The sequence below is a fragment of the Homo sapiens genome, chromosome 2 (assembly GCF_000001405.40).
Source record: "Homo sapiens chromosome 2, GRCh38.p14 Primary Assembly".
NCBI classification, from domain to species: domain Eukaryota; kingdom Metazoa; phylum Chordata; class Mammalia; order Primates; family Hominidae; genus Homo; species Homo sapiens.
Genome location: NC_000002.12, coordinates 61415844 through 61443473, shown reverse-complemented (window position 1 = coordinate 61443473; position 27630 = coordinate 61415844). Strand labels below are relative to the sequence as shown.

The following is a 27630-nucleotide window of genomic DNA, read 5'->3' as shown; positions in this document are numbered from 1 at the left end:
GATAGCTTTTTAAAAAATTTATTTTAATTGACGTAATAATTGTACGTGTTTATGGGATATGTAGTGATTTTTTTATGCAAAATTTCATCATATAGTGATGTGTTGATACATATATAGTGATCAGATCAGGGTAATTAGTGTATTCATCTCAAACATTTATCCCTTTTTTGCATTGGGAACCTTCTGTGGCCTCTTTGTAGCTATTTGAATCTATATAATGTATTATTGTTAACTGTAGTCATTTCACAGTTATGTAGAACACTGGAACTTATTCCTCCTATCTAGCTGTAATTTTTATCCTTTCACAAATCTCTCCCTATTCTTCCCTTTCCCCTGTCCTTTCCACCTTCTTGTATCCTCTGTTCTACTTTTTACTTACATGAGATGAACCTTTTTTTAGCTTCCACATGAGTAAGAACTTATGGTGTTTAACTTTCTGCTCCTGGCTTATTTCACATAAGATAATGTCCTCCAGTTCCATGTATGTTGCTGCAAATGACAGGATTTCATTATTTTTAATGGATGTATAATATTCCTCTGTGTGTGTGTGTGTGTGTGTGTGTGTGTGTGTGTGTACACACATCACATTTTGTTTATCCATTCATCTATCGTTGAACACGTAGGTTGATTTTGTATCTTGGCTACTGTGAATAGTGCTGTAATCGTGGGAATGCAGACGTCTCTGATACAGTGTTTTCCTTTCCTTTGGATAAATGCCTAGCAGTGGGATTGCTGGATTATATGGTAGTCGTGTTTGTAGTTTTTTGAGGAGCTTTGATACTGTTCTCTATAGTGGCTGTGCTAGTTTACGTTCCCACTAACACTGTATAAGAGTTCCCTTTTCTGTGCATCCTTGCCAGCATTTGTTATTTTTTGTGTTTTTGATAATAGCTATCCTAACTGGGGTAAGATACTTCATTGTGGTTTTGATTTGCATTTTCCTGATGGTTAGTGATGTTGAACATTTTTTTCACATATTTGTTGGCCATTTGTATATAATCTTTGAGAAATGTCTATTCACATTGTGTGTGCATTTTTAATTGGATTTTTTCTTTTTTTTTTTTTTTGCTGTTAAGATGTTTGAGTTCCTTGTAAATTCTTGATGTTAATCCCCTCAGATGAGTAATTTGCGTATAGTTTGTCTCATTCTGTAGGTTGTCTTTTTTTACTCTGTTGATTTTTGCCTTTGCTATACAGAAGTTTTGTAGTTTGACATAATTCCATTTGTTGTTTGTTGCCTGTGCTTTTGAAGTCTTTATTCATAAAATCTTTTCCCAGACCGATGTCCTGAAGCATTTCCCCTGTTTTGTTCTAGTAGTCTTATAGTTTTGTTAGTTCTTTGAGCCATTTTGAGTTGATTGTTTATGTAGAGGAGTGAGGGTATAGTTTCATTGTTGTGCCTATGGATGTCCAGTTTTCCTAGCACCATTCATTGGAGAGACTGTCCTTTCCCCAGTGAACATTCTTGGCACCTTTGTCAAAAATCAGTTGACTGTAGATACGTGTATTAACTTCTGGGCACTCTGTTCTGTTCCGTTGGTTTATGTATCTGTTCTTATGTCAGTACCATGCTGTTTTGGTTACTACAGCTTTCAATATATATTTTTAGGTCTTTTCTTTTTTCTTCCTTTTTTTTTTTTCTTTTCTTTTCTTTTTTCTTTTTTTTTTTTTGTAATGCAGTCTCTCTCTCTGTTGCCCAGGCTGTAGTTCAGTGGTACCATCACAGCTCACTGCAGCCTTGACCTGAGCACAGTTGATTCTCCCACCTCACCCTCTCAAGTATCTGGGACTACAGGCATGCATCAAGATGCCTGGTTAATTTTTTTTTTTGGCACTTACGCATTTCTGTGCCTGTTGAGTGGTGGCAGGAGCAGCCCTAGGCTGGGCAGCCGAGTGGCCGAGCAGAAGTTACAGGGACACAGGGGCACCTCTAGCCCCAGAGAGGGAGACTGGGGCTTTGGGAGCTGTGTGGCCCTGGGCTCCAGAGGAGGCCTCCTGACATCTCTTCCCCCAACCAGCTCTAGTCTCTCTGCAGCCACCTTTTCAGGAAGGGCAGGGACTCCATAAAGCTCCAAAATTTACTGCCTTTCTCATTACAGGGGCTGGGAGGTGGGGCGCAGAAAGTATAAGAGGTTTAACCTGCCTGGGTGACTTTAATTCCAAAGGGCAGAGCCTGGGTGTGGTGGGACCCATGTGTGGTCCCAGTGCTTTGGGAGGCCGAGGCAGGAGGATCACTTGAGCCTAGGAGTTTGAGGCTACAGTGAGCTATGATCGCAAGTACACTCTAGCCTGGGCCACAGAGCAAGACTCTGAGTCCAAAAAAAAAAAAAAATTTTTTTTTTTTTTTGAGGCGGCTCTCACTCAGTTGTCCAGGCTGGAGTGCAGTGGCGCGATCTCAGCTCACTGCAAGCTCCGCCTCCCAGTTTCATGCCATTCTCCTGCCTCAGCCTCCCGAGTAGCTGGGACTACAGGCACCTGCCATCACGCCCAGCTAATTTTTTTGTATTTTTAGTAGAGACGGGGTTTCACCGTGTTAGCCAGGATGGTCTCGATCTCCTGACCTCATGATCCACCCGTCTCGGCCTCCCATAGTGCTGAGATTACAGGCGTGAGCCACTGCACCCGAAATTTTTTTTTTTTTTAAATTAAAAAAGTAGGCCGGGTGTGGTGCCTTACGCCTGTAATCCCAGCACTTTGGGAGGCCAAGGCAGGCGGATTGCCTGAGGTCAGGAGTTTGAGACCAGCCTGGCCAACATGGCGAAACCCCATCTCTACTAAAAATACAAAAAGTAGCCGGGTATGGTGGTGGGCGCCTTTAATCCCAGCTACTTGGTAGGCTGAGGCAGGAGAATGGCTTGAACCCAGGAGGAGGAGGTTGCAGTGAGCGGAGATTGTGCCACTGCATTCCAGCCTGGACGAGAAGAGCAAAACTCCATCTCAAAAAAAAAAAAAAAATTTAAAAAGGGCAACTTTTTCAAGAAGAATGGAGGGGAAAAGGCATGAAGAGAAATTCCCTCTGCAGCAGAGCAAGTTCCTTCCATGGAGGAACAGGAAGCCGCAATCACTGTTTGCAGCTGGGCACAGCTGCCATGACATTTCATACAGCAGCCATTGACCTGCTTCCTCCTGATGTCCTGTCTGGGCACATCCTCCAGCAGGACCACCAGGGAGGCAGGGATGGCAGCCCTTGCAACTTCCCTTTGACCTCAGGGAATTTGAGAAATTGAGGTGTGGGATGGCAGAGTGGTGGTGTTTGGAGGCCAGGAGGAAGAGGCTGATGTCCGCAACCCCACAGGACTCAAGCAGCCCACCCTGATGCCCTAGATGAGTGCTCGGGAGGGACGGCCATGCTGCTGGCTTTCTGTGTAGCACTCAGGCAGGTGCCTCAGTGAGCCCTCAGAACCGGGGAGGAGAAGGTTGCAAAGCAACAGCCTGATGCCCAGGGCCTTGCAGCTTGTCTTGGGGAGCTCACACTGCCCCTCCTGTGGTCCCTGCACTAGGCTAGGATGCCCCTGTCCTCCCACATCCTCCGCTCCCTGTACCCTGTTGGCCCAGCAGCAGTCCCTGTCCTAATGGCACAGTGCAGCCATCCACAGAATCCACACCCAGACACCTCTCTGGGCCACACATCATGAGGTCTCCACCCAGCTGTGTGTGACCCACATAGTGACAGGGTATGGCTGAGCAGGTCTCCAGGCCCACCCTTTGCCCACAGCCTCCTGCCTCCCTGCGGTGAGACACAGGCAAGGGTCACAGGTCAGCAAGTCTGTTCTCTTAGAAACATGCCAAGGTCAGGTGTGGGCCACTTGTGCTCCACGGGGGCTGCCATGCTGCCTTCTTGGAGCACACAGGAGTCCCCGTCAGATATCCTAACCTGAGTACCCACAGCTGCTTGTGGTGAGGGCTGACTGTGGGTGCTCACTGACTGCCTGCTCAGCACACAGCTGGATGGTGCTGGGCACTGGGCCTTCCAAGAAATGGAAACGGCCCCTTCCCTCCCAGTGCTCACATACAGCAGGGGAGACAGGATGGCCGGACAGAATGGTGCCAAGTGTGAGTGCTGCAAGCAGATCCTCGTGGAGGGAGCCAGGGCCAGGCTGGAGGGGTGACATCAGAGCTGTGCACATACCTGAGTGTTCTTGCCAGCACAGGGCATGAGGGTCAAGTGGCTCTACACAGCTGAGGCACAGCAGGAGGAGGGGGCACATAACCTGGCTAATTTTTTGTAGAGACACGGTTTTGCCCTGTTACCCAGGCTGGTTTCGAACTGCTGAGCTCAAGTAATCGTCCCAACTCAGCCTCCCAAAGTGTTGGGATTACAGGCGTGAGCCACCATGCCCAGCTGTTTTTAGGTCTTTCACTTCCTTTGTTAAATTTATTCCTGTTAGACTTTTTTCCTAGCTATTGTAAATGAAATTGCCTTCTTGATTTCTTTTCAGGTAGTGTATTGTTTGTATATGGAAACATCACTGATTTTTTTTAAATAGTGATTTTGTATCCTGCAACTTTACTGAATTTTTTAGCTCTGAGGTGTGTGTTTTTAGTGGAGCATAGGTTTTACTATATATAAGGTCATGTCATCTGCAGCTGCAAACACAGGGACAGTTTGACTTCTTCATTTCCAATTTGGATGCCCAGAACTACTTTGTCTTGTTCTGGCTAGGACTTGCAGTAGTATGTTGGGTAAGAGCAGTGAGAGTGAGATCCTTGTCCAGGTACAGTTACTGGAGGAAAAGCTTTTATCTTTCTCTTGTTGAGTAAGATGATAGCTGTGGGTTTGTCATATATGGCCTTTATTATGTTGGTGTACTTTCCTTTTATACCTAATTTATTGAGAGTGTTTTTTTTTTGTTTTTGTTTTTGTTTTGTTTTTGAGATGGAGTCTCACTCTTGTCGCCCAGGCTGGAGTGCAGTGGCGTGATCTTGGTTCACTGCAACCTCTGCCTCCCAGGTTCAAGCAGTTCTCCTGCCTCAGCCTCCCGAGTAGCTAGGATTACAGCTTGTGGCTAATTTTTGTAGTTTTGGTAGAAACGGGGTTTCACCATGTTGGCCAGGCTGGTCTCGAACTCCTGACCTCAAGTGATCCGCCTGCCTTGGCCTCCCAAAGTGCTGGGATTACAGGCGTTGAGCCACCACGCCTGGCCTAGAGTTTTTTTTTTAATCACGAATGGATGTTGAATTTTATCAAATGCTTTTTCCGATTCTATTGAGATGATCCTATGGTTTTTGTCCTTCATTCTATTGCTAAGATGTATGACATCCATTGATTTGCGTATGTTAAATTATCCTTGTATTCCTGGGTTGAATCCCAGTTCATCATGGTTATTACATTTTGATGTGTTGTTGGATTTGGTTTGCCAGAATTCTGTTCAGAATTTTTGTGTCTATGTTTATCAAGGACACTGGCATGTAGTTTTCTTTTTTGTTTGTTTTTCCTTTTCTGGTTTTGGTATCAGGGTTATACTGGCCTTGTAGAGTGAGTTCAGAAGAATTAACTTTGCTTCAATTTTTTGGAATACCTTGAGAAGAATTGGTATTCATTCTTCTGTAAATATTTGGTAGATTTCAGCAGTGAACCCATCAGTCCTGCACTTTCCTTGGGAGACTTTTTGTTACTGATTCAATCTCATTACTTGTTTTTGGTCTGTTCAGGTTTTTTATTTATTTATTTATTTATTTATTTATTTATTTATTTATTTTTGAGACGGAGTCTCGCTCTGTTGCCCAGGCTGGAGTGCAGTGGTACAATCTGGGCTCACTGCAAGCTCCGCCTCCCGTGTTCAAGCCATTCTCCTGCCTCAGCCTCCCGACTAGCTGGGACTGCAGGTGCCTGCCACCATGCCTGGCTAATTTTTTGTATTTTTATTAGAGACGGGGTTTCACCATATTGGCCAGGCTGGTCTTGAACTCCTGACCTCGTGATCTGCCTACCTCAGCCTGCCAAAGTGCTGGGATTACAGGCATGAGCCACCGTGCCTGGCAGGTTTTTTATTTCTTATTGGTTCAATCTTAGTAGATTGTATGTGTTCAGGAATTTGTTCATTTCCTCTAGGTTTTTAAATTTATTGCTGCGTAGTTGGTCAGCAGTCTCTAATGATCCTTTGTACTTCTGTGGTATCCGTTATGATGTCTCCTTTTTTGTTTCTGATTTCTTTTATTTGGGTCTTGTCTCTTTTTTCCTTAGTCTAGCTAAAGGTTTGTTGATTTTGTTTATCTTTTCAAATGACCAGCTTTTTTCTGATCTTTGATCTCCTGTAATTTGTTTTAGTCTCAATTTTGTTTATTTCAGCTCTGATCTTTATTGATCTTCGTTGTCTAATTTTGGTTTTGTTCTTTTTGGTTCCTTGAGATGCATCATTGGTTGTTTGAAATCTTTCCAGTTTCTTGGCATAGGCATTTATTACTATAAACTTCCCTCTTAGCAGTGCACCGCTTTTGCTGTATCCCACAGGCTTTGACGTGTTGTATTTGCATTTTCATTTGTTTCAAGACATTATTTTATTTCCATCTTAATACCTTCATTGACCCAGTGGTCATTCAGGAGCATGTTGTTTAATTTCCATGTATTGGTATAGTTTCCAGCATTTCTCTTGTATTGATTTCTATTTTTATTCCATTGTGGTCTGAGAAGATAGCTGACATGATTTTTTCAGTTATTTTAAAATTTGGTTGAGACTTGTTTTATGTCCTAAAATATGGTCAATTCTGGAGAATGTTTCATGTGCTGCTATAAAAATGTGTATTCTGCTGCTATTAGGTGAAATGTTCTGTAAATAGCTGTTGGTTTTATTTGGTCTATGATGCAGTTGAAAACTATGTTTCTTTGTTATATTCTGTCTAGATGATCTGTCCAGTGCTGTTGAAGTCCCCAACTATTATTATGTTGAGGTCTGTCTCTCCCGTTAGATCTAATTATGTTGTATATCTGGGTCCTCTGGTGTTGGTTGCGTGTGTATTTACAATTCTTATATCCCCTTACTGAATTGATGCCTTTATTATATAGTGTCCTTCTTTGTCTCCTTTTACAACTTTTGGCTTGAAGTCTGTTTTGTCTGATATATGTAAAGCTACCCCAGCTCACTTTTGGTTTCTGTTTACATGGAATGTCTTTTCCCGTCCTTTCACTTTTAGTCTATGTGTGTCTTTATTTTGTTGGGACAGAGTTGTGCTCTGTTGCACAGGCTGGCACAATCTTGACTCACTGCAACCTCTTCCTCCCAGGTTCAAGCGATTCTTTTGCCTCAAATTCCCAAGTAGCTGAGATTACAGCATGAGCCACTGTGCCCAGCCAATTTTTTTGTATTTTTAGTACAGACATGGTTTTGTCATGTTGGCCAGGCTCTGTGGGTGACTTTAAAGATGAAGTTAGTATCTTGTTGACAGCATATTGTTGAATTTTTTTGTTGTTGTTCAGTCTATAACTTCTATTTTTTATATATATTTTTTGAGATGGTGTCTCACTTTGTCACCCAAGCTGGAGTGCAATGGGGTGATCTTGGTTTACTGCAGCCTCCGCCTCCCAGGTTCAAGCGATTCTCCTGCCTAAGCCTCCTGAGTAGCTGGGATTACAGGCGCACTCCACCATGCCCGGCTCATTTTTGTATTTTAGTAGAGATGAGGTTTTACTATATTGGCCAGGCTGGTCTCGAACTCCTGACCTCAAGTGATCTGCCCGTCGTGGCCTCCCAAAGTGCTGGGATTACAGGCATGAGCCACTGCGCATGGCCAGTGTATAACTTTTAAATGGGGGAATTTAAATCATTTGTGCTCAAGGTATTATTGATAGGTGAGGACTTACTCCTGCCATTTTATTGATTGTTTTTTAGTTACTACATTATATATCCTTTGTTCCTTGCTTGCTCTTCCATATATGAAATTCTTGAGCATTTCTTATAAGGCAATCTACTGATGAGTATTTCCTCAGTTTTTCTTTGTTTGTGAAGGTTTATTTCTCCTGCGTTTCTGCAGGACAGCTTTGCTGGGTATAATCTTGATAAGCTGTTTTTTTGTTTTTTTTTTAGTACTTTAACTCTGTTAATCCCATTCACTCCTTGCCTGTAAGGATTCTGCTGAGAAATCTGTTAGTCTGGTGGAGATACTTTTATTTGTGACTTGATGCTTTTCTTTTGCTGCTTTTAGAGTTCTTTTTTTTTTTTTTTTTTTTTTGAAACAAGGTCTCACTCTGTTGCCCAGGCTAGATAGAATACAGTGGCGCAATTAAAGCTTATTGCAGCCTTGACTTCCTGGACTCAGGTGATTCTCCCACCTCAGCCTCTGAGTAGCTGGGACTATAAGCATTCACCACCATGTCCAGCTAATTTTTATATTTTTTTGTAGAGATGGGGTCTCACCACGTTGCCCAGGCTGGTTTTGAATTCCTGGCCTTAAGCAATCCACCTGCCTTGGCCTCCCAAAGTGCTGAGATTATAGGTGTGAGGTGCTGTGCTTGGCCTCTTTGTTGAATTTCTCATTAAAATCATGAATTATTTTCCTTATTTCATTAAAGTTCTTACCTGTATTCCCTTGTACCTCCTGAGTTTCCTTAAGATCGTTATTTTGAGTTCTTTTTCTGGCATTTTATATATTTCTTTATGATTGGGGTCTATTACAGGAGAATTATACTGTTTGCCTTTGAAGATGTCATGTTTCTTTTTTCTCTGTTGATTTCTCTACATTGTTTCTACACATTGTTGGAACCCCCCCCCTTTCAATTTTATGGAGTAAATTTTATAGGGAAAGACTTAATTTATATAAGTGGATCTTAGATCAGTGGAGTGTGTTGGCCTTGGTTCTGTGTGGACACAGTAATGTAGTTTCTTCATCTGTAATCTGTACTAGTGACATTTGAGAGTTTCTCAGCAGCCTAGGATGAGGAAGTGTGTGGTGCAGCTTTGCCAGGGGGGTTGGCTCATTGGGCTGTTTCTCAAGTCAGGGACACATGTATGCATATGGTGAGTTGGCCAACTTGGGGTCTGGCTTGCTGGGGTTGAAGCCACAGGACTGTTACTCTGGCCAGGAGCACAGGCATGTGGTTGCTCAATTGGCTTGGTGTTGTGCCTGGCAGGAGTGGCCCATGGTTTCTCAGGTCTAGGACACAGGTGCACAACTGCTCAGCCAGCCTAGATGTGTCTGTCAGGTGTTGCCCATTGGGCTGTTTCTTAGGACTGGGATGTGGGCTCTTGGCTGCCTGGCTGGCCTGGGGGGATGCCCATCAGGGACGACCTGTGGTAATGTTTCTGAGGCCCTTATTGGGGGCGCAGGGCTGTTCGGGAGGCCAGAAGCATGTCTACATGGGGCAGAGGTGCTAGGAGCCTTTTTCTTAGGCACTGAGTAAGGGTGCATGGCTGCTTCACTAACCTTGGGGTGTATCACATGCTCTTTGGCTTGCGGGCCTCCACTACTTTGGAGAGAGCTTATAGTGGCTTGGTTGGCTTATGGGCAGGTTTGTCCTGGATGGGACTGTCAGACTGTTCCTTTGGCTTGAAGTGTGGTCTGGTTGTGGGAGTTGGTTTTCCCTGCTGTGCGGGACCAAAGTTGCAGCTATAGTTGTGGCATTCATTCACCTGTGTGGCCTTGGTGTAATGAAGATGGAGCTGAAGTGCTGCAGAGGTGCAGTGGCTACTGGCCCCCAGAGGGTGCACTCCAGAGGTGGCTCTGGTTTCAAGATGGTGTTGCACTGCCACAGCTTGTTTCACTGGGGGTAGGTGGGGGTTGGGGAGCACATTCCTTGTGCTCCTAATTTGGGCAGTGCAGCTGTATGGATTTCCAGCAGTTGTCTAAATTGGGCTCAGGGCTTGCAAGGACTGTGGGATTCTCCTTTTTATTTTATTTATAGTTTTTGAGATGGAGTCTTACTCTGTTGCCCAGGCTGGAGTGCAGTGGCACGATCTTGGTTCACTGCAACCTCTGCCTCCTGGGTTCAAGTGATTCTCCTGCCTCAGCCTCCTCAGTAGTTGGGATTACAGGCACCCACCACCACGCCCGGCTAATTTTTATATTTTTAGTAGAGATGGGGTTTCACCTTCTTGGCCAGGGTGGTCTTGAACTCATGACCTCAAGTGATCCGCCTGCCTCAGCTCCTCAAAGTGCTGGGATTACAGGCATGAGCCACCGCACCTGGCCGATTCGCCACTTGTAAGGAGTGTAGGTGTTTGTGGTGGTAATGGGAGTGCTGGTGAGGGATCTTCTGCTTACTTTTTCCCTGCATCAGGAAGTCCCTGCTGACTGCAGGCAAATCCCATCTGGGTGAGGGGAGATGGGGCTGCAGAGGCTGGATGCTTCCATACTGCCTTCCTGGACTTTGTCACCAACAGGTGTGTCTCCATTCCCCAACTGCACTCAGATGGTCTCTCTGACACACCTGTCAGATCTTAGCTGTTTATTTGTTAACCTTTGTCCTTTCTTGTGTGTAGGATGAATGCTAGGTGTCTTTAGTCAGTCTCCCTGATTCTTTTTTTAATATTCTTCATAACTTTGCTGGAATTCTTCAGCTTATCTAATATCTTGAATGTATTACCTATTGTAACTAATATCTTAATCTTCTGTTTTATTGTTCTCTTATTTTCACCCTTGTTTCTGGCTATGTGGTATGTGGTCTTGGTTTTTGGTTCTCTGGTCATTGTAGAAAGTTTTAGATATCTAGAGTCATGTGCAGAAATGGGAAAGTTTATGGGCAGTGAACACTTATGTACCCATCACCCAGTCAACATTTACCAACTCATGGGTAGTTTTTTTTTTCACCTTACCTTATCCATTGTCTCTCTCCCACCCACTGGATTAGCTTGAAGTAAATCCAGGTGTTATATATTATCTGTATATATTTAAATATATTAAAATAACCATTTAGCATTTAAAAATTTTAAAGATGGGGTCTTGCTGTGTTGCCCAGGCTGGCCTAGAACTCTTGAGCTCAAACAGTCCTCTCACCTCAGCCTCCTGAATAGTTGGAACTAGAGACACACACCACTGTGTCCAGCTTTGTTTGTTTACGTATTTATGAGACAGGGTCTCACTCTGTCACCCAGGCTGGAGTGCAGTGGCATGCTCCTGGTTCACTGCAGCCTTGACCTCCTGGGGCTCAAGCTGTCTGCCCACCTCAGCTTCCTGAGTAGCTAAGACTGTAGGTACGGGATATTATGCCCAGCTAATTTTTGTCTTTTTTTTGTAGAGATGGGGTTTTGCCATGTTATCCAGGCTGGTCTTGAACGCCTGAATTCAAGCCATCTGCCCACCTTGGCCACTCAAAGTGCTAGGATTACAGGAAAATGTCACTACATTCCATTTTTTTTTTTTAATTGAAAAACGGTGGGTTCTGTCTAAGTTGCCCAGGCTGGTCTCAAACACCTGGGCCCAAGCAAATCTTGCCTTGGCCTCCCAAAGTGCTGTGATTACAGGCGTGAGCTGCTACCCCTGGCCATGGTCTGTTTTTTGTTATTTTAAATTCATACGTAATTCTTATACATATTTATAGGGTACAGCATGCTATTTCAATACCTTTATATGATGTGTAATGATCAAATTGGGGTAATTATTGTTATCTCAAGCATTTATCATTCTTTGTGTTGGGAACATTCAAAATCCTCTCTGCTATTTATTTATCTTTTATTTATTTATTTTTTTGAGATGGAGTCTTGCTCTTGTTGCCCAGGCTGGAATGCAGTGGTGCGATTTCAGCTCACTGCAACCTCCGCCTCCCGGGTTCAAGTGATTCTCCTGCCGCGGGTCTCAAGTAGCTGGGATTACAGGCGCCTAACACCATGCCCGGCTAAGTTTTTGAATTTTAGTAGAGATGGGGTTTCACCAGATTGGCCAGGCTGGTCTCGAACTCCTAACCTCAGGTATTCCACCCACTTGGCCTCCCAGAGTGCTGGGATTACAGGTGTGAGCCACCACGCCCGGCCAGCCTCTGCTAGCTAAAATGTCAGATTATTAACTATAGTAATCCTAAAGCCAGGATCAGTGACTCATGTCTGTAATCCCAGTGCTTTGGGTGGCTGAGGCAGAAGGATCACTTGAGGCCAGGAGTTAGTGACCAGTGTGGGCAACACAGCAAGACTCCATCTCTACAAAAAGTTTAATTAATAATTAGTTGAGTGTGGTGAAATGCACCTGTAGTCTCAGCTACTTGGGAGGCTGAGGCAAGTGGATTGTTTGAGCCCAGGAGGTCCAGGCTGCAGTAAGCTGTGATTGTGCCACTGCATTCCAGCCTGAGTGACAGAGCTAAATCTCTTCTCTAAACAAACAAAAACCTGATAAAGCTCCAAAGAACAACAAAAACAAAAAAATAGTCATCCTGCAGTACTATAAAACACTAGAATGTATTCCTCCTGGCTAGGTATAATTCTCTGTTCATTAACCAATCTCTCCCTACATTCCTCTTCTCTAACCTTTCCAGTGTCTAGTTGTGTAAATTTCTTTAGTTTTCGTTTCATTTCATTTCGTTTCATTTCTTTTCTATTTTTCTTTTTTTAAAGAATAGGGGTCTTGTTGCCCAGGCTTCAGTGCAGGGGCGCACGATCATAGCTCACTATGAGCCTCAAACTCCCAGGCTCAAGTGATCCTCTCTTCTCAGCCTCCCAAGTAGCTGAGATTACAGGCTTGCACTACCATGCCCAGTTAATTATTTTATTTTTTGTAGCGAAGGGGTTGCCCAGGGTGGTCTTGAACTCCTGGCCTCAAGGGATCTCTTGCCTCGGTCTCCCAAGAGTAATTTCTTAATACGAAATAGCATTCAATTTCCCTTATATTCTCAGTTTTAAAAAATTCTACCTTTTCCTTCACAATTTGAATCAAGATTCACATGAGACCTATTAGAATTGCTGATTTTAAAAATTAACTAAATTGTTATATAATTTACATACAATAAGGTTAGTCTATTGTAAGGGTATGTGTTTATTCATTTTGACAAATGTATACACTCATATAAGAACCACAATTGAACATTTCCATCACCCAGTTATTCCTCATTCCTGTTTGTAATCAGCCCCACCACCAACTCTGCATTGTCGTAACTGCTGATGTGCTTTGTCACCTAAGCTTTATTTTTAAATGTATTTTATTATTATTATTTTTTGAGACAGTCTTGCTCTGCCACCCAGGCCGGAGTGCAATGGCACGATCCTGGCTCATTGCAACCTCTGCCTCCTGGGTTCAAGTGATTCTCCTGCCTCAGCCTACTGAGTAGCTGGGATTATGGGCATGTGCCAGCACGCCTGGCTAATTTTTGTATTTTTTTTTTCTTTTCTTTTTTTTTTTTTTTTGTGACGAAGACTCGCTCTGTCGCCCAGGCGGGAGTGCAGTGGCACGATCTTGGCTCACTGAAAGTTCCGCCTCTCGGGTCCACGCCATTCTCCTGCCTCAGCCTCTCGAGTAGCTGGGACTACAGGTGCCCACCACCACGCGCGGCTAATTTTTTGTATTTTTAGTAGAGACGGGGGGTTTCACCGTGTTAGCCAGGATGGTCTCGATCTCCTGACCTCGTGATCCACCCGCCTCGGCCTCCCAAAGTGCTGGGATTACAGGCGTGAGCCACCGCGCCCAGCCTAATTTTTGTACTTTTACAAATACAAAATTTTAGTGGAGACAGGGTGTCACCATGTTGGCCAGACTGGTCTCGAACTCCTGACCTCAGGTGATCTGCCCGCCTCGGCCTCCCAAAGTGCTGGGATTATAGGCAGGAGCCACTGTGTCCAGCTAGAAATAAACTTTATGTACTACTTACATCTGGTTGGTATTCTTTTTACTTAGCATACGGTTAGAAGTCATCCATGTTGCTTGTTGGTGCATCAGTAGTCGGTTTCTTTTTATTGCTGAATAGAATTCCGTATGTTGGCATATATATGATAACTTTTTTTTTTTGAGGTAGTCTTGCCCTGTTACCTGTCATGTGGTGCCATTATAGCTCACTGCAACCTCGACTGCCTGTGCTTAAGCAACTCATTCACCTCAGCCTCCTGGGTAGCTAGGACTACAGGTGCATGCTACCACACCCAGCTAATTTTATTTTATTTTATCTTATTTTATTTTTTGAGACGGAGTCTCGCTCTGTTGCCCAGGCTGGAGTGCAGTGGTGCAATCTTGGCTCACTGCAAGGTCTGCCTCCTGGGTTCATGCCATTCTCCTGCCTCAGCCTCCCAAGTAGCTGGGACTACAGGTGCCCACCACCATGCCTGGCTTAATTTTTGTATTTTTAGTAGAGACGGGGTTTCACCTTGTTAGCCAGGATGGTCTCGATCTCCTGACCTCGTGATCCGCCTGCCTCGGCCTCCCAAAGTGCTGGGATTACAGGCGTGAGCCACTGTGCCTGGCCAAACCTAGCTAATTTTAAAATTTGTTTAGTAGAGATAGTGTCTTGTACTGTTGCCCAGGCTGGTCTAGAACTCCTAGCCTTAAGCAATCCTCCCTCCTTTTCTTCCCAAAGCGCATCCTTTTTATTTATTTTATTTTTTTTATTTTTAAACTCAATCCACTCTAATGGAAATTTGGTTTGTTTCTAGTGTGAGTAAAGTTATTATTTTGTTTTGCTCTTTGTGTTTTGTTTGTTGGCTACCTGTGTGGACTAATTCTGTGAATTCTGGCTGCCCTGTAGTTTGTAGCCATTGATATCTCTGTTGGTTATTGTTACTGTTTCAATACATAATTCTTTTCTCTCTTTATTTTCAAACCTCACTTCCTAGGAGTTACCTCTGAATCGGCATAGCTAATTTTTTTCCTAAGTCTGTTGTAATTTCTAGGTTCCCCTCTTTCTTTTTATTTGTTGCAGAAACTGCTCGTTCCGTGGCTTGCTTAGTGCATACGATTTCCCATCTGGATTTTGCAGATTTTATCCTTGTGTAATTATTATGCTTTGTCTTTTGTATTTCCATACTTTTATTGCTAGATCTAGAGGCTTGATCAGATTCAGGTTAAATTTCTTGGCAAGACTGTTTTATAGGTTGTGTTGTGTTCTTCCATGGGGTTGGTTGGAGTGCCACTTAATGTCATAGTTAGCAAGCAGCCATTGCCTAAGGCTTTTATTACATTAACAGCTACAAAACTAATCCTGTCACTTTTTTCTTTGATTAGGTGGACTATCTGTATCAGGAGAAACTTGCTTTTATTACCTGTTTCATTACTTTTATTTGCTATTTCTACGTGAAAGTCAGGATGAATGGCTGATTTCTCCCTTTGTTAACCAGTTTTCAATGACTGATTTAACATTTGCAAAGGTGATCACTTTTTTTTTTTTTTTTTGAGAATCATTAGAAACTCATACTCAGAAATAACATTTTTGCCTTTGTTTAAGATTTGGAAGTTTTTTTTTTTTTTTTGTGACGGAGTTTTGCTCTTGTTGCTCAGGCTGGAGGGCAGTGGCGCAATCTTGGTTCACTGCAACCCCTGCCTCCCGGGTTCAAGCGATTCTTCTGCCTCAGCCTCCCAAGTAGCTGGGACTACAGGCACACGCCACCATGCCCGGCTAGTTTTTTTGTGTTTTTAGTAGAGACGGGGTTTCACCATGTTGGCCAGGCTGGTCTCAAACTCCTGACTTCAGGTGATCTGCCTCCCTCAGCCATCCAAAGTGCTGGGATTACAGGTGTGAGCCACTGTGCCTGGCCACCAAAAACTCTTTAGATTTGCCCTTTTGAGGCTATTTTCTAGATCCCGTAGGCATGCTTCATTTTTAGAAATTCCGTTTTCTTTTTTCTCCTGACTTGGGTGTTTTCAAATAGTCTGTGTTTGAACTCACTAATTCTTACTTCTCTGCCATCAATTCTGCTGCAAAAGACTAATACATTCTTTAGTATGCCAATTGCGTTTTTCAGCTCCAGAATTTCTGCTGGAGTCTTCTTACATGTTTTAATCTTTGTTAAAGTTATCTGATAGAATTCTGTATTCCTTCTGTGTTATCTTGAATTTCTTTGAGTTTCCTCAACACGGCTATTTTGAATTCCTTATCTGAAAGGTCACATATCTCTGTTTCTCCAGGATTGGTCCCTGATGCCTTATTTAGTTCATTTGGTGAGGTCATGTTTTCCTGGATGGCGTTGATGCTAGTAGATGTTCTTGAGTGGCATTGAAGAGTTAGGTATTTATTGTAGTCTTCACTGTCTGGCCTTATTTGAAGCTGTCCTTCTTGGGAAGGCTTTCTAGATATTTGAAAGAACTTGGGGCCGGGCACGGTGGCTCATGCCTGTAATCCCAGCACTTTGGGAGGCCAAGGCGGGTGGATCACGAGGTCAGGAGATCGAGACTATCCTGGCTAACATGGTGAAACCCTGTCTCTACTAAAAATACAAAAAAATTAGCCGGGCGTGGTGGCGGGCACCTGTAGTCCCAGCTACTCGGGAGGCTGAGGCAGGAGAATGGTGTGAACCTGGGAGGCAGAGCTTGCAGTAAGCCGAGATCGTGCCACTGCACTCCAGCCTGGGCAACTCCATGTCAAAAAGAAAAAAACTTGGGTATTGTGATCTAAGCTGTATCTGCTTTAGGGGTACCCCAAGCCCAGTAATTCTGTGGTTCTTGCAGACTCATACAGGTACCACCTTGATGGATTTGGACAAGATCTGGATAATTTGTGGATTACCAGGTGGAGACTCTTGTTCTCTTTCCTTACTTTCTCCCAAACACACGGTCTCGCTGTCCTGAGCCACCTAAAGCTGGGGTTGGAGTGAGTGACACAAGCACCCCTGTGGCCACCATGACTGTGCTGGGTCAGTCTTGAAATTAGGACTATGCTGGGTCTCACCCAAGGCCTGCTGTAACTGCACTCTGGCTACCTCCCATGTTTGCTGAAGGCCCTGGTGCTGTGCAATCAGCAGTTGGCAAAGCCAGCCAGACCTGCATCCTTCCTTCAGGGCAGCAAGATCTCTAGACCCCAGGTGGGTCCAGAAGTGTTGTCTGGGAGTTAAGATACTAGAGCAATACTTTTTGTATTGTGGCTGAGCTGGCATTCAAACCACAGGACTGGTACTTCTCACTCTTTTTCCCATTTCCACCTCACCTCGTAGCCACCGCCACCCCCAGGCCACAAGGGGTACTGCCAGACTCACCGATGTTTCTCTAAGGCCCAGTGTCTCTGAAGTCAGCTTGTCATGAACGCTCTGTTACCTGGGACTCACCCTTCAGGGCAGTGGGCTCCCCTGTGGCCCAGGGCAGGTCCAGAAATGCCATTTAAGAGTCAGGTCTTAGAATTAGGGACACCCAAGAATCAACTGGTGCTCTACCCTGCTGTGTTTGTGCTGGTACCTAAGCTGTAAGACAAAGTTCTCTTTACTCTTTCCCTCAGCTTTTCTCAAGTAGGAGTTTTGCCCCATAGCCACCACAGCTGGTAATGTGCTGAATCTCACTGAAGCCAGCAAGTCTCAGAGGCTCAACTGAGGCCCTCAATGTAGTACTTGGATATCGCTACTGGTTATTCAGGGCCCAAGGGCTCCTCAGTTAGGTGATGAATGCTGTCAGCTCCTGTCTTCTGGCCCAGGGTGTGTGTAGAAATGTCTGGGAGTTAGGGCCCTGAACAGGGGACCTCATGACTCTGAGCGGTGCCCTGTCTTGCTGTGGCTGAGCTGGTATCCAAGATGCAAGAGAGTCCCCCCCACTCTTCCTTCTCTCCTCAAACAGAAGGAAGGCATCTTTCTTGGAGCCCTGAGCTGTGCAGCCTGTCGAGGGGAAGGGGTGATGCCAGCACTCCATTGGCTGCCCCGCCTGGTGTCTCAGTATGTCTCATTCCCTGCTTCCTGTCCCCCTTCCCACCACCTCTACTGTCTTGGTGCCCAGTTCATTCATTACTAAGAATCGGTTAAGAGTTGTAGTCCTTACGGCTCAGACTGCCAAAAAGTTTACTTGGAAACATGGAGTGCTGTAGCCCTCCATGGTGAGGCTGGTGGGAACTCAAGTTGGGACTCCTGGGATCGGCAGTTGCCCTCCGCTTTAGGGCTGGTTTAAATGCTCCCTCCCTGGGTGGGAGTCACCTGGGTTTGATCTGGTTTTCTTTTCTGCTCTCACAGGACAGCACTGAGTTCAGTGGCTTGCAGTTGCTGTGTTGTCCCTCCCTCAGCACCGAGAGGCTCTAGGCACCAGGCCTTTTGCTGCTGGCTGGGGGAACAGGAAGTGTGCGTAGTTGCTAATTGAGGACTGTTGTTTCTCCCTTCAGTGATACGCAGTTAAAACCAGGTACTATGAGTACTCACCTGATTTTTGTTTTTTATGAAGGTGTTTCAGTTAAAACCAGGTACTATGAGTACTCACCTGATTTTTGTTTTTTATGAAGGTGTTTTTTCTATGTAGATCTTAATTTGGTATCCTTGTTGGCGGGGGCATGGGCATGATCAGTGGAGCCTTCTATGCTTGCTCTGCCTCCCACCTGTTTTCAGTCTAAAAAATCAGTGGCAGCTGGGCGCAGTGGGCCACACCTGTAATCCCAGGAGGCCAAGGCAGGTGGATCATGAGGTCAGGAGTTTGAGACCAGCCTGGCCAACGTGGTGAAACCCTGTCTCTACTAAAAATACAAAAATTAGCCGGGCGTGGTGGTACATGCCTGTAATTCCAGCTACTCAGCAGGAGAATCACTTGAACCTGGGAGGCGGAGGTTGCAGTGAGCCGATATTGCACCATTGCACTCTACCCTGGCGGACAGAGTGAGACTCCCTCTCAAAAAAAATTCAGTGGCTTCCATTAAACTACAGTTTGGATTTCCTGAACTCCTTTAAAAAATAATTGCAAAAATTTTTAATTGTGGTAAAAAAAAATATAGAACATAAAATTTACTGTTGGTCTTTTTTTCTTAAATAGAGAGGGGGTCTCGCCATGTTGCCTGGGCTGGTGTTGAACTCTTGGGCTCAAGTGATCCTCTTGCCTTGGCCTCGCAAAGTGTTGGGATTACAGACATGAGCGAAACATTTCTTTTCTTGATCATTTTTTATGTATATAGTTGAGTAGTGTTAGAAATGTTAACATTCTCGTGCAACAAATCTCTACAACTTTTTCATGTGACAAAACTGAAACGCATTTCTGGGCAACCACCCTTCTCCTTTGTTTCTGTGAATTTGGCTACTTTAAATACCTCATACCAGTTGAATTGTACAAGTACAGTCATGCACCGAGTAACGATGTTTTGGTCAATGATGGACCTAGTGTAGGACAGTGGTCGTAAGGTTATAATTTTTACTGTACCTTTTCTATACTTAAATATGTTTAGATATGCAAATACTTACATTGTATTATGGTTGCCTAGAGTATTCAGTACAGTTACATGCCATACAGGTTTGTAGCCTAGGAGCAATGGGATATTTATACACCGTATAGTAGAGGTCCAAGAGAGCAAAGATCTCTTGGAGATGGTGCTTTCAATTCATTTCAGTATATATGCTCACGAGTGGGATTGCTGGATCATATGGTAATTGTGTTTCTGATTTTTCAAGGAACTGTCATACTGTTTTCCACAGCAGCTGTAACATTTTATATTCCCAGCAAGAGTACACAATGGTTCCAGTTCCACATAACTTGTGAACATTTATTTTATTTATTTTGTTGTTTGTTTTTTAAGAGACAGGATCTTGCCCTGTTACTCATGCTGGAGTCAGTGGCATGATCATATCTCACTATAGCGTTGAACTTCTGGACTCAAGCCATTCTCCCACGTTATCCTTAGTGTCCTGAGTAGCTAGAACTATAGGCATGTGCCACCGTGCCTGGCTAATTTTTAAAAATATACATATTTTTAGAGATGGTACCTTGCTGTGTTGCCCAGGCTGGTCTTGAATTCCTGGCCTCAAGCAGTCTTCCTGCCTCAACCTACCAAAGCACTAGGATCGGAGGTGTGAGCTGTTGGGCCTCACTGGGGATTTTGATAGTGATTGCTTTTAATTCATAAATCAATTTGGGTGGTGTCGATATTTAACAATATAATGTCTTCCAACCAGTGAATGTGGGATTTCTTCCCATTTATTTACATCTTCTTTAATTCCTTTTAGCAACATTTTGTAGTTTTCATTGTTAACAAGTCTTTTCCTCCTTGTTTCATTTTTCTTTTTGATGCTGATGCAAATGGATTTTTTTTAATATTTCCTTTTTAAATTGTTCATTGTTAGTGTATTAGAAATGCATCTGACCTGTAATCCCAGCACTTTGGGAGGCTGAGGCGGGCATATCACTTATGATCAGGAGTTCGAGAGCAGCCTGGCCATCATGGTGAAACTCCCTCTCTACAAAATACAAAAACTAGCCAGGCGTGATGGTGGGCACCTGTAATCCCAGCTACTCAGGAGGCTGAGGCAGGAGAATCGCTTGAACCTGGGAGGCAGAGGTTGCAGTGAGCCAAGATTGTGCCACTGCACTCCAGCCTGGGCAAAAGAGTGAGACTGTCTCAAAAAACCAAAAATTTAAAAAGACAAAAGTATATCTGATTTTTGTGTTTTGAATTTGTATCCTGTAACTTTGTTGAATTCACTTATTTTTTGTTTGTTTGTTTTTGAGAGGGGGTCTCACTCTGTTACCCAGGTTGGAATGCTGAAATGCAAACTGCAGTTTAATGGAAGCCACTGATTTTTTTCGGCTCACTTCAGCCTTAACCTTCCAGGTTCGAGTGATCCTTCCACCTCAGCCTCCTCAGTAGCTGGGACCAGAGGTGTGCACCACCATGCCTGGCTAATTGTTTATATTTTTCGTAGAGATGGGGTTTCACTATGCTGCTCAGGCTGGTCTTGACCTCCTAAGCTCAAGTGATCTGCCCGCCTTGGCCTTCCAAAGTGCTGGGATTACCGGCTGTTAGTTCTAACAGTTCTTCTTGTGTAATCCTTAGGGTTTTCTGTTGGTTCATGTTATCTGTGGACAGAAGTGACTTGATTTCTTTCCATTTTCTTCCTCATTGAATTGCTCTGACTAGAATTTCTAATACTGTGTTGAATAGAAATTGTGAAAGTGACCACCTTATCTTGGTCCTAATCTTAGAGGAAAAGCTTTTGGGCTTTCACCTTTGAGTATGATGATAGCTGTGTGTTTGGAGAACTCTACTCTGATGAAATGTCCTTCACTTGCCTTTCTGGTTCTGGGTTGGATGGAATGAGTTGGAAAGTTTTTGTTGGTTAGCAGCTAGGCTGTCAGGCGGGCCTCTGGTGAGGATGGTTTTCTGGCCACACAAACTTTTTTTCAGAATGTGTGCCGTGTGTGTTTTTTGTTAGAGTAGGATATGATGGTTGTAGCCACTCTTCCCTCTGTTTTTAGGCACTGTTATGGCTGGGGAAGGAAAACTGGCATGGCGTACTGTGATCCCTTCTTCACCTTGTTGAAATCATACAATGCAAGAGGTTGTTTTTAGTGGTTGCTTCATCTTAGGCCCCAACTATATCTTATTCTGTCCTAGTTGCTAAGCTTTGTTGCCCAGGTCTTCTCCCTGATGGTCAGTAGTGTCTTCGGCTTCCAGGGCCTCAGATGTGATCTAGGTCCCAAAAGCCTGGTCTTGGGTGTAGGTGTTACTACCTTGTGACTGTTTTACATGTATTTTGGCCTTACGCCGTTTCCTTTTCTCCTTGACCAAGGTAATTTTTTTTTAAACCCCTTTTTGGTTAATCAGTATTACCAGAGAGGAATCTTCCAACCTCCTAGTTCAGCTTACCAGCATTTCTGGAGCTGAGTTGAGGAAGTGTGCTGTAAGTCTCAACATTGTGTATGTAGTCTGATTAAGTAGAAGGTGCGCGCGCGCGCGTGTGTGTGTGTGTGTGTGTGTGTTTTAAATGTAAACTAACCTCATATATATTTGGTACAGGAAACTTACTGGTATAGTAGGACATATTACTGCTTCATAGGGGATTTCCCCTCCTCACGTTAATGTGATACAGTGATCCAGGCAAGATTTCTTGGGATTAAAGAGAAGACACTAGCAATATATAAAGAAACAGTAAGAAAGCTGATAAGCCTCAAAAATGCTTTCTTGTACATACATAATAATTGGTTTAGTGGCTTCAAAGACCCTTATGTTTTCTACTTTGTAAAGCTGTGTGGACCAGCCAAAGAAGGTAAAAGCCATTAAAATGATGGAATTATAAGAATGGTTATGTTCAATTTTTATTATTTTGGGAAATGGTCTTTTAATGAGAACTGAATGTTCTCAAGCTTCCTCATATCAAAAGAGGAACGCCGTGTGAAGGAAGCTGTGACTTCAAGGAAGGTATGCTCTGTGGCTACTGCTGATACCTCTGAGAGGAGTACCATGAGACTGGTTCTTGGAATACTAAGCTGGAGGCTGGAATCAGTGCTGCTGCTTTCAGATATAGCAAGCTGACAAGTCTTTGGTCTCTCCTCCTGCCTTCTTCTTCTAGTACCCTATAGGCACTGGAGAACAAGATCTTAACAGGAAGACAGCTGGAAATGAAAAATGTAGATTGCATGGTCCCAGCCTCAGCATCACAACGGAAGGCTGGTTTTGGAGATGAGAGATAATCCCAGAATAAGTGGCAAAGTCTCACTGCCCCCCCCACCCCTTACATCTGTCAAAAATCTGTTCTTAAGTCCATATGAGTTATTAATTAAAAGTAGACTTATTTTCTTTGGAAGCAAAAGAATGATTATCTGAAATGTTTGCATTTGTAGCTCTTGGCTTTATTTTGAACTGTTGGCTTTAATACTGGTTTAGCATTATTCATAATTTTAAAATTTCTTTTTTATTTCAGTATCAGATGTAGAAGGTGGTGATGGACTGCAGCTCAGAAAGGAACATACTCTCAAAATATTTACTTATATCAATTCCTGGACACAGAGGTATGCATCTTTAGGTATTTCGAAGACTAATTTTTGTGAGTTGTGTTATAAGTTGCGATTTTTATTGTCACATTTTCTTTTTAGGGTGTTGGGTTAGATACCATTAGTTACTAAATGACAGTTTGTCAATATTTATTAAATCTTTACTCATGAGGTCGATCATGATTCTGTTTTTAAAACATGGGCATAAATATCAGTTTCTTTCTTTGACCCCTGCTTATTTAGGGATATGAGAGTCACAGAAATTCTGAAAAGTAACTATTTTGAGAGATTAAATAATTTTTATGGTATAGCTAAAGGCTTGTAACAATCTTAATCCTTAAAAAAGAAAAGTCATTGTGGTAGGGGATACTTTTAAGCCACTTAATATCTGTTCCGTTTCTATAATTATGTGTATTAGACCAATTTCTAAATAATACATATATTGAGACTATAGGAAATAAAATTTTAGGAAAACATGTTAATATAATCAAAGTTTATAAAAAGGATTCCTGTTCCTCAATGTGATTTTAACTAGTCTTTGCTAATAATTTTTTTCCCTTGAATAAACCAATGAAAATAAAAATTACTTTAACTTAAACTTAGTCCTTCTAAAAAATTTTATGGGTAAGAATGTTTGAAGCATTGTGTGCAGTAGCCAATGAACATGTTAAATGCAGTGATACATAAATGAATGTTCTGAGGTATACAGTCTAGCTGAACATAGAGTTTAGCTGAGTAGTTTAACTTCAAATAACATTTGCTCTATGGTAATATCCTTTTTTCCTCTCTCAGTAGAGTTGGCAGATATACTTGTTGCAAAAGACTTTGTAGATTTTATTTATGTAAACATTCTGTACCATCATTATTGACATTTCTTTTCTGAGTCTCACTGAATTTCAGTAAGTTTAGGAGTGGTTGCTGTTGCATTAGGGATGGACTAGATGAATATTGCATAATACTAATATGTTTATGATTGAAGATGAACTTTAATAGTCCACAATGATTTGCTGAGAAATGTTGTGTCTGAGTCATAATCTTGAGTTTTAATTATTGTAACTACAGCTAGGTGGCAACATGTTATACTAGGAAAAAAATCTACACTTCTGATTTCAGGATCTATAAGTTTGCCACTGAATAAAATGAAATCCAGAGAAACAAAATCATTCTCCTAAAATCTCATCACTAGTTATTGGTAGAGATGGGGTGGGAGTTATATGTTCCCATTCCTAATACACTTGTATTCTAGCTTATTTTTAATCCCTGTATTAAGAATTTTTAACCAAGAGTCTGTGGATGGGAATGAAATTATAAAGGAGATTTTCATATGTGCAGTTTTAGGCAGTAATTCTTAGGTCTCATCAGAATATCAAAGTGTTTGCCTCCAAACCACCGAGAGCCTGTGGTTTATCTCATGTTGCCCTAGAATGTAGTGGTTAAGAAGAGTGTGGCCTGGCCGGGTGTGGTGGCTCATGCCTCTCACTTTTGAGAGGCTGAGGTGGAGGATCACTTGAGCCTAGGAGTTCGAGACCAGCCTGGGCTACAGGGCGAGACCCCATCTCTATTTAAAAAAAAAAAGTGGCCTTGGATCTAGATAGACATGGATTCTAGTCCTGCTTCATCACCTGTGAACGAGTGATGATGACAAATGAGTTAAGTTCTGTAAACTCTCATTTCCTCATTGGTGGAAATAGAATAATAATAAAGCTACTACTGTCTTAATGAGATTGTAAGAAAACAAAGTGCTTAGCACTGTATTTGCTAAAAGGACTTAATAAACACATATTTTAATTAAAATTGTTAAAATTTGTTTTGGAAAATGAAATATAAATTAAAAGATGTAAGCTAAAGTATGAAAGCTAAGCTGGAGAACATTGAATAATTTGTAATTTTGTTCACCTGTCAGTAAGTATGAACAGTTGTTAGCTCGTAGTAATAAAAGTGGAATGTTATACTCTTAATTGTGCATACTCTTAATTGTGCTGATAGAAGGGAGAACAGGTAAAAATAGTTAGATCACAGTGCCTTGTAGTGAAAATTTGTCTATTTCCATCTTCCTCTCTTCCTCCCCTAAATTATTTTCTTGAGCTTCAGAAAATATTGTGGCCTAGATTAAGATTGTCGTTCTAATTAGCGGATAAACAGGTACTAATAAAGCATGGATAATCTGCAAAATGCATTCTTAACTTGGGGCCCGTGGACCAAGTGAGTCCATAAGTGAACCTTAGCGTGGAGATAAACTCATGATATTTCATACAACATGTTATTTATAAGTTTCCTAGAGGGAAAAAGCTTTCGTAAGATTATTAGTGGTCATAAATTGTTTTTGTAGTGTATTATCTACAGTATAGGTAATGGAGAATGTTTACTTCAAAAATAGTATGGTAGGCCAAGCGTGGTTGCTCATGCATGTAATCCCAGCACTTTGAGAGGCCAACGTGGGTGGATCACCTGAGGTCAGGAGTTCGAGACCAGCCTGACCAACATGGTGAAACCCCATCTCTACTAAAAATACAAAAATTAGCCAGGCGTGGTGGTGTGTACCAGTAATCCCAGCTACTCGGGAGGCTGAGGCATCAGAATTGTTTGAACCTGGGAGGCGGAGGTTGCAGTGAGCTGAGATTTGTGCCACTGCATTCCAGCCTGGAATAGAGTGAGACTCCATCTTAAAAAAAAAAAAGTATGTTAACAAGAATTTAATATTTATAAGCATTATAAAGATTTTAGGCCCAGGGTAATGGCTCATGCCTGTAATCCCAGCACTTTGGGAGGCCCAGGGAGGTGGATCACTTGAGTTCAGGAGTTTGAGACCAGCCTGGTCAACACGGTGAAACCCTGTCTCTACTAAAAATACAAAAATTAGCCAGGCGTGGGGTGCTCATGTGTAACCCCAGCTACTCGGGAGCCTGAGGAAGGAGAATCATTTGAACCCGGGAGGCAGAGGTTGCAGTGAGCTGAGATCACGCCACTGTACTCCAGCCTGGGGATAGAGCAAGACTTTGTCTAAAAAAAAAAAAAAAAAGAAAAGAAAAAAAGAAAAAAAAAAAGATTTTAGTATTTTATATATATATTTTTTCTTATTTAAATGATACAGTCATTGTAGGGAAAAAAAAACAACTTTGAGAAACTACAGAGAATTGAAGTTAAAAACAAAAACATGCCACCATTCAGAGCGACAGCTTACAACTTCTTTTGTATATCCATGGTGTGAGACTGAGAACAGTACAGTTTTAAATTTTACAAAAATTATACTTCATGGTCTGATTTCTCAGGTACAGTTAACTATGGTCAGTCTCTGTGTGATCAAGTATTATCTGTGTCATCATTTTTAAGTGCTGTTTAACAGTCATATAGCTGTCACAACTTTGGCTGTAAGATTACGGAGGTCCTGCAGCCAATTAAGCTGACTGAATTCCTTTCCTTATGGGGGTCCAGTGTGCAATGGCTGTAAACAGCAGCTTCCTTGGTAGTGTATGCGGCCTGTTTGTTGTATAGGTTGCTCTAAGGGACCTTGGAGACAGGCCTTTCAGATGTATGTTCGTGTTTCTGACCTTGCACTACCCCAGTGTAGGGTCCAAACAGGCATGTGAGGTGCCTTTGGAAAGCCCCAGGGCACTGTGGCCAGGGTTCACATTGGCCAAGTTATGTCCATCCATACCAAGCTGCAGAACAAGGCGCATGTGATTGAGGTCCTGCTCAGGGCCAAGTTCAAGTTCCCCGGCTGCCAGAAGATCCACATCTGGAAGAAGTGGGGCTTCACCAAGTTCAATGCCGATGAATTTGAAGATATGGTGGCTGAGAAGCGGCTCATCCCAGATGGCTGTGGGGTCAAGTATGTCGCCATTCATGGCCCTCTGGACAAGTGGCTGGCCCTGCACTCATGAGGGCTTCCACTGTGCTGCCCCCTCTTAATACCAATACATTCTACTTCCTGTCCCCCCCCCCAAAAAAAAAAAGATTAGGGAGGTTAATAACACATGTTTGTTTACCAGATTATCATCATTTTATTAATTTAATGATTGGGAATAGAATAGGAGGAAAACTAACTCAGAAAATGGGAAGAGAAAGGAATAGGAGAATAAATTCAAGACTAAATTAGGGAAAGGGAATATACGGATCTGCAAAGGAATATCATGTATGACAAGCACCGATACCACAGAGCATAATTCTTCATGTTGTTAAGTGTTGATTTTTTTTCTTTTTCTTTGCTTGTTTTAAGCTTATTACAAAACTGAGTTAGGTTTATATCTTGGAAATTCCACGTTCCTTAACAGGTATTTAAAGCTCTTTGCTGTCTCCTACCTATCAACTTTTTAACTTTATTTCAGGAATTTCTTCTATATAAGAACTCTGGACGCCAGCCAGGGTGAGGTTCTCTGTCAGGTTTCCAGGCTAAAAGTAGTATCTTTTATATTTGTCATTTGTGCTTAATGTTTGAAGCTTTTACTTTTATTTTTTCATTGTTTTAATAAATTTTGTTTTTTAGAATAGTTTTAGAAGCCGTTGCTTTTAAATAGGTTAAATGTATGTGGTTCACTCTTTAAGGCTCTGCCTTTTATTTTGGCATCAAGAAATTTGTTGGACCAATGGACTGTTGATATTGACCAGTGTTTAAAGTAGTTCTTTTCATAAATTAGCTCATACATAAAACAATTTTTGGTGAGGTTGAATACTGTGGAGTAATAGTCCTTTCATTCTTTCAGCAGAATTGGGCTAGGGAAATGATATTGGACCCACTGGAATATTTGTTGCTAGATGGAATTCTAAAACCTAACCTGGAAAGAATTTTATTTTGACATGTAGATTCCTCATGAATGTTTACTTAGTATTACTTTTAAAATTAAAGCTACATACTTTATATGAGGCATTTAGAAATTTTTATCATTGCATTTTAAAAACATAAGTGCATTTTATTTAGGTGGG

The 27630-nt window shown here is 42.5% G+C and overlaps 1 protein-coding gene and 1 non-coding gene across 2 annotated transcripts in view, besides 5 other annotated features; both read left to right on the top strand.

The window, feature by feature from the left end:
- The window catches only part of USP34 (ubiquitin specific peptidase 34), a 283625-nt gene that overhangs the window by 27614 nt on the left and 228381 nt on the right, over positions 1 to 27630 (top strand). The window contains exon 2 of the mRNA NM_014709.4: positions 22641 to 22728. Within this exon, the coding sequence (NP_055524.3) occupies positions 22641 to 22728 (88 nt within the window). The remainder of the gene's footprint in view (positions 1 to 22640; positions 22729 to 27630) is intronic.
- Positions 13240 to 13434: a silencer, noted in NCBI's record as "fragment chr2:61657175-61657369 (GRCh37/hg19 assembly coordinates)". NCBI's record gives its function as "represses an EF-1alpha promoter that drives an FKBP-Casp9 reporter gene in an ReSE screen in K562 erythroleukemia cells {active_cell/tissue: K562}" and the evidence as "EXISTENCE:reporter gene assay evidence [ECO:0000049][PMID:32094911]".
- Positions 16269 to 16946: an enhancer, noted in NCBI's record as "H3K4me1 hESC enhancer chr2:61653663-61654340 (GRCh37/hg19 assembly coordinates)". NCBI's record gives its function as "activates a minimal SCP1, AML or CMV promoter by ChIP-STARR-seq in primed H9 embryonic stem cells {active_cell/tissue: H9 hESC(primed)}" and the evidence as "EXISTENCE:reporter gene assay evidence [ECO:0000049][PMID:30033119]".
- Positions 16947 to 17624: an enhancer, noted in NCBI's record as "H3K27ac-H3K4me1 hESC enhancer chr2:61652985-61653662 (GRCh37/hg19 assembly coordinates)". NCBI's record gives its function as "activates a minimal SCP1, AML or CMV promoter by ChIP-STARR-seq in naive H9 embryonic stem cells {active_cell/tissue: H9 hESC(naive)}" and the evidence as "EXISTENCE:reporter gene assay evidence [ECO:0000049][PMID:30033119]".
- Positions 17625 to 18302: an enhancer, noted in NCBI's record as "H3K27ac-H3K4me1 hESC enhancer chr2:61652307-61652984 (GRCh37/hg19 assembly coordinates)". NCBI's record gives its function as "activates a minimal SCP1, AML or CMV promoter by ChIP-STARR-seq in naive H9 embryonic stem cells {active_cell/tissue: H9 hESC(naive)}" and the evidence as "EXISTENCE:reporter gene assay evidence [ECO:0000049][PMID:30033119]".
- SNORA70B (small nucleolar RNA, H/ACA box 70B) lies at positions 26097 to 26230 on the top strand. Its single transcript, NR_003707.2, has one exon. It is a non-coding gene; the product is annotated as a small nucleolar RNA, H/ACA box 70B (small nucleolar RNA).
- Positions 26412 to 26604: a silencer, noted in NCBI's record as "fragment chr2:61644005-61644197 (GRCh37/hg19 assembly coordinates)". NCBI's record gives its function as "represses an EF-1alpha promoter that drives an FKBP-Casp9 reporter gene in an ReSE screen in HepG2 liver carcinoma cells {active_cell/tissue: HepG2}" and the evidence as "EXISTENCE:reporter gene assay evidence [ECO:0000049][PMID:32094911]".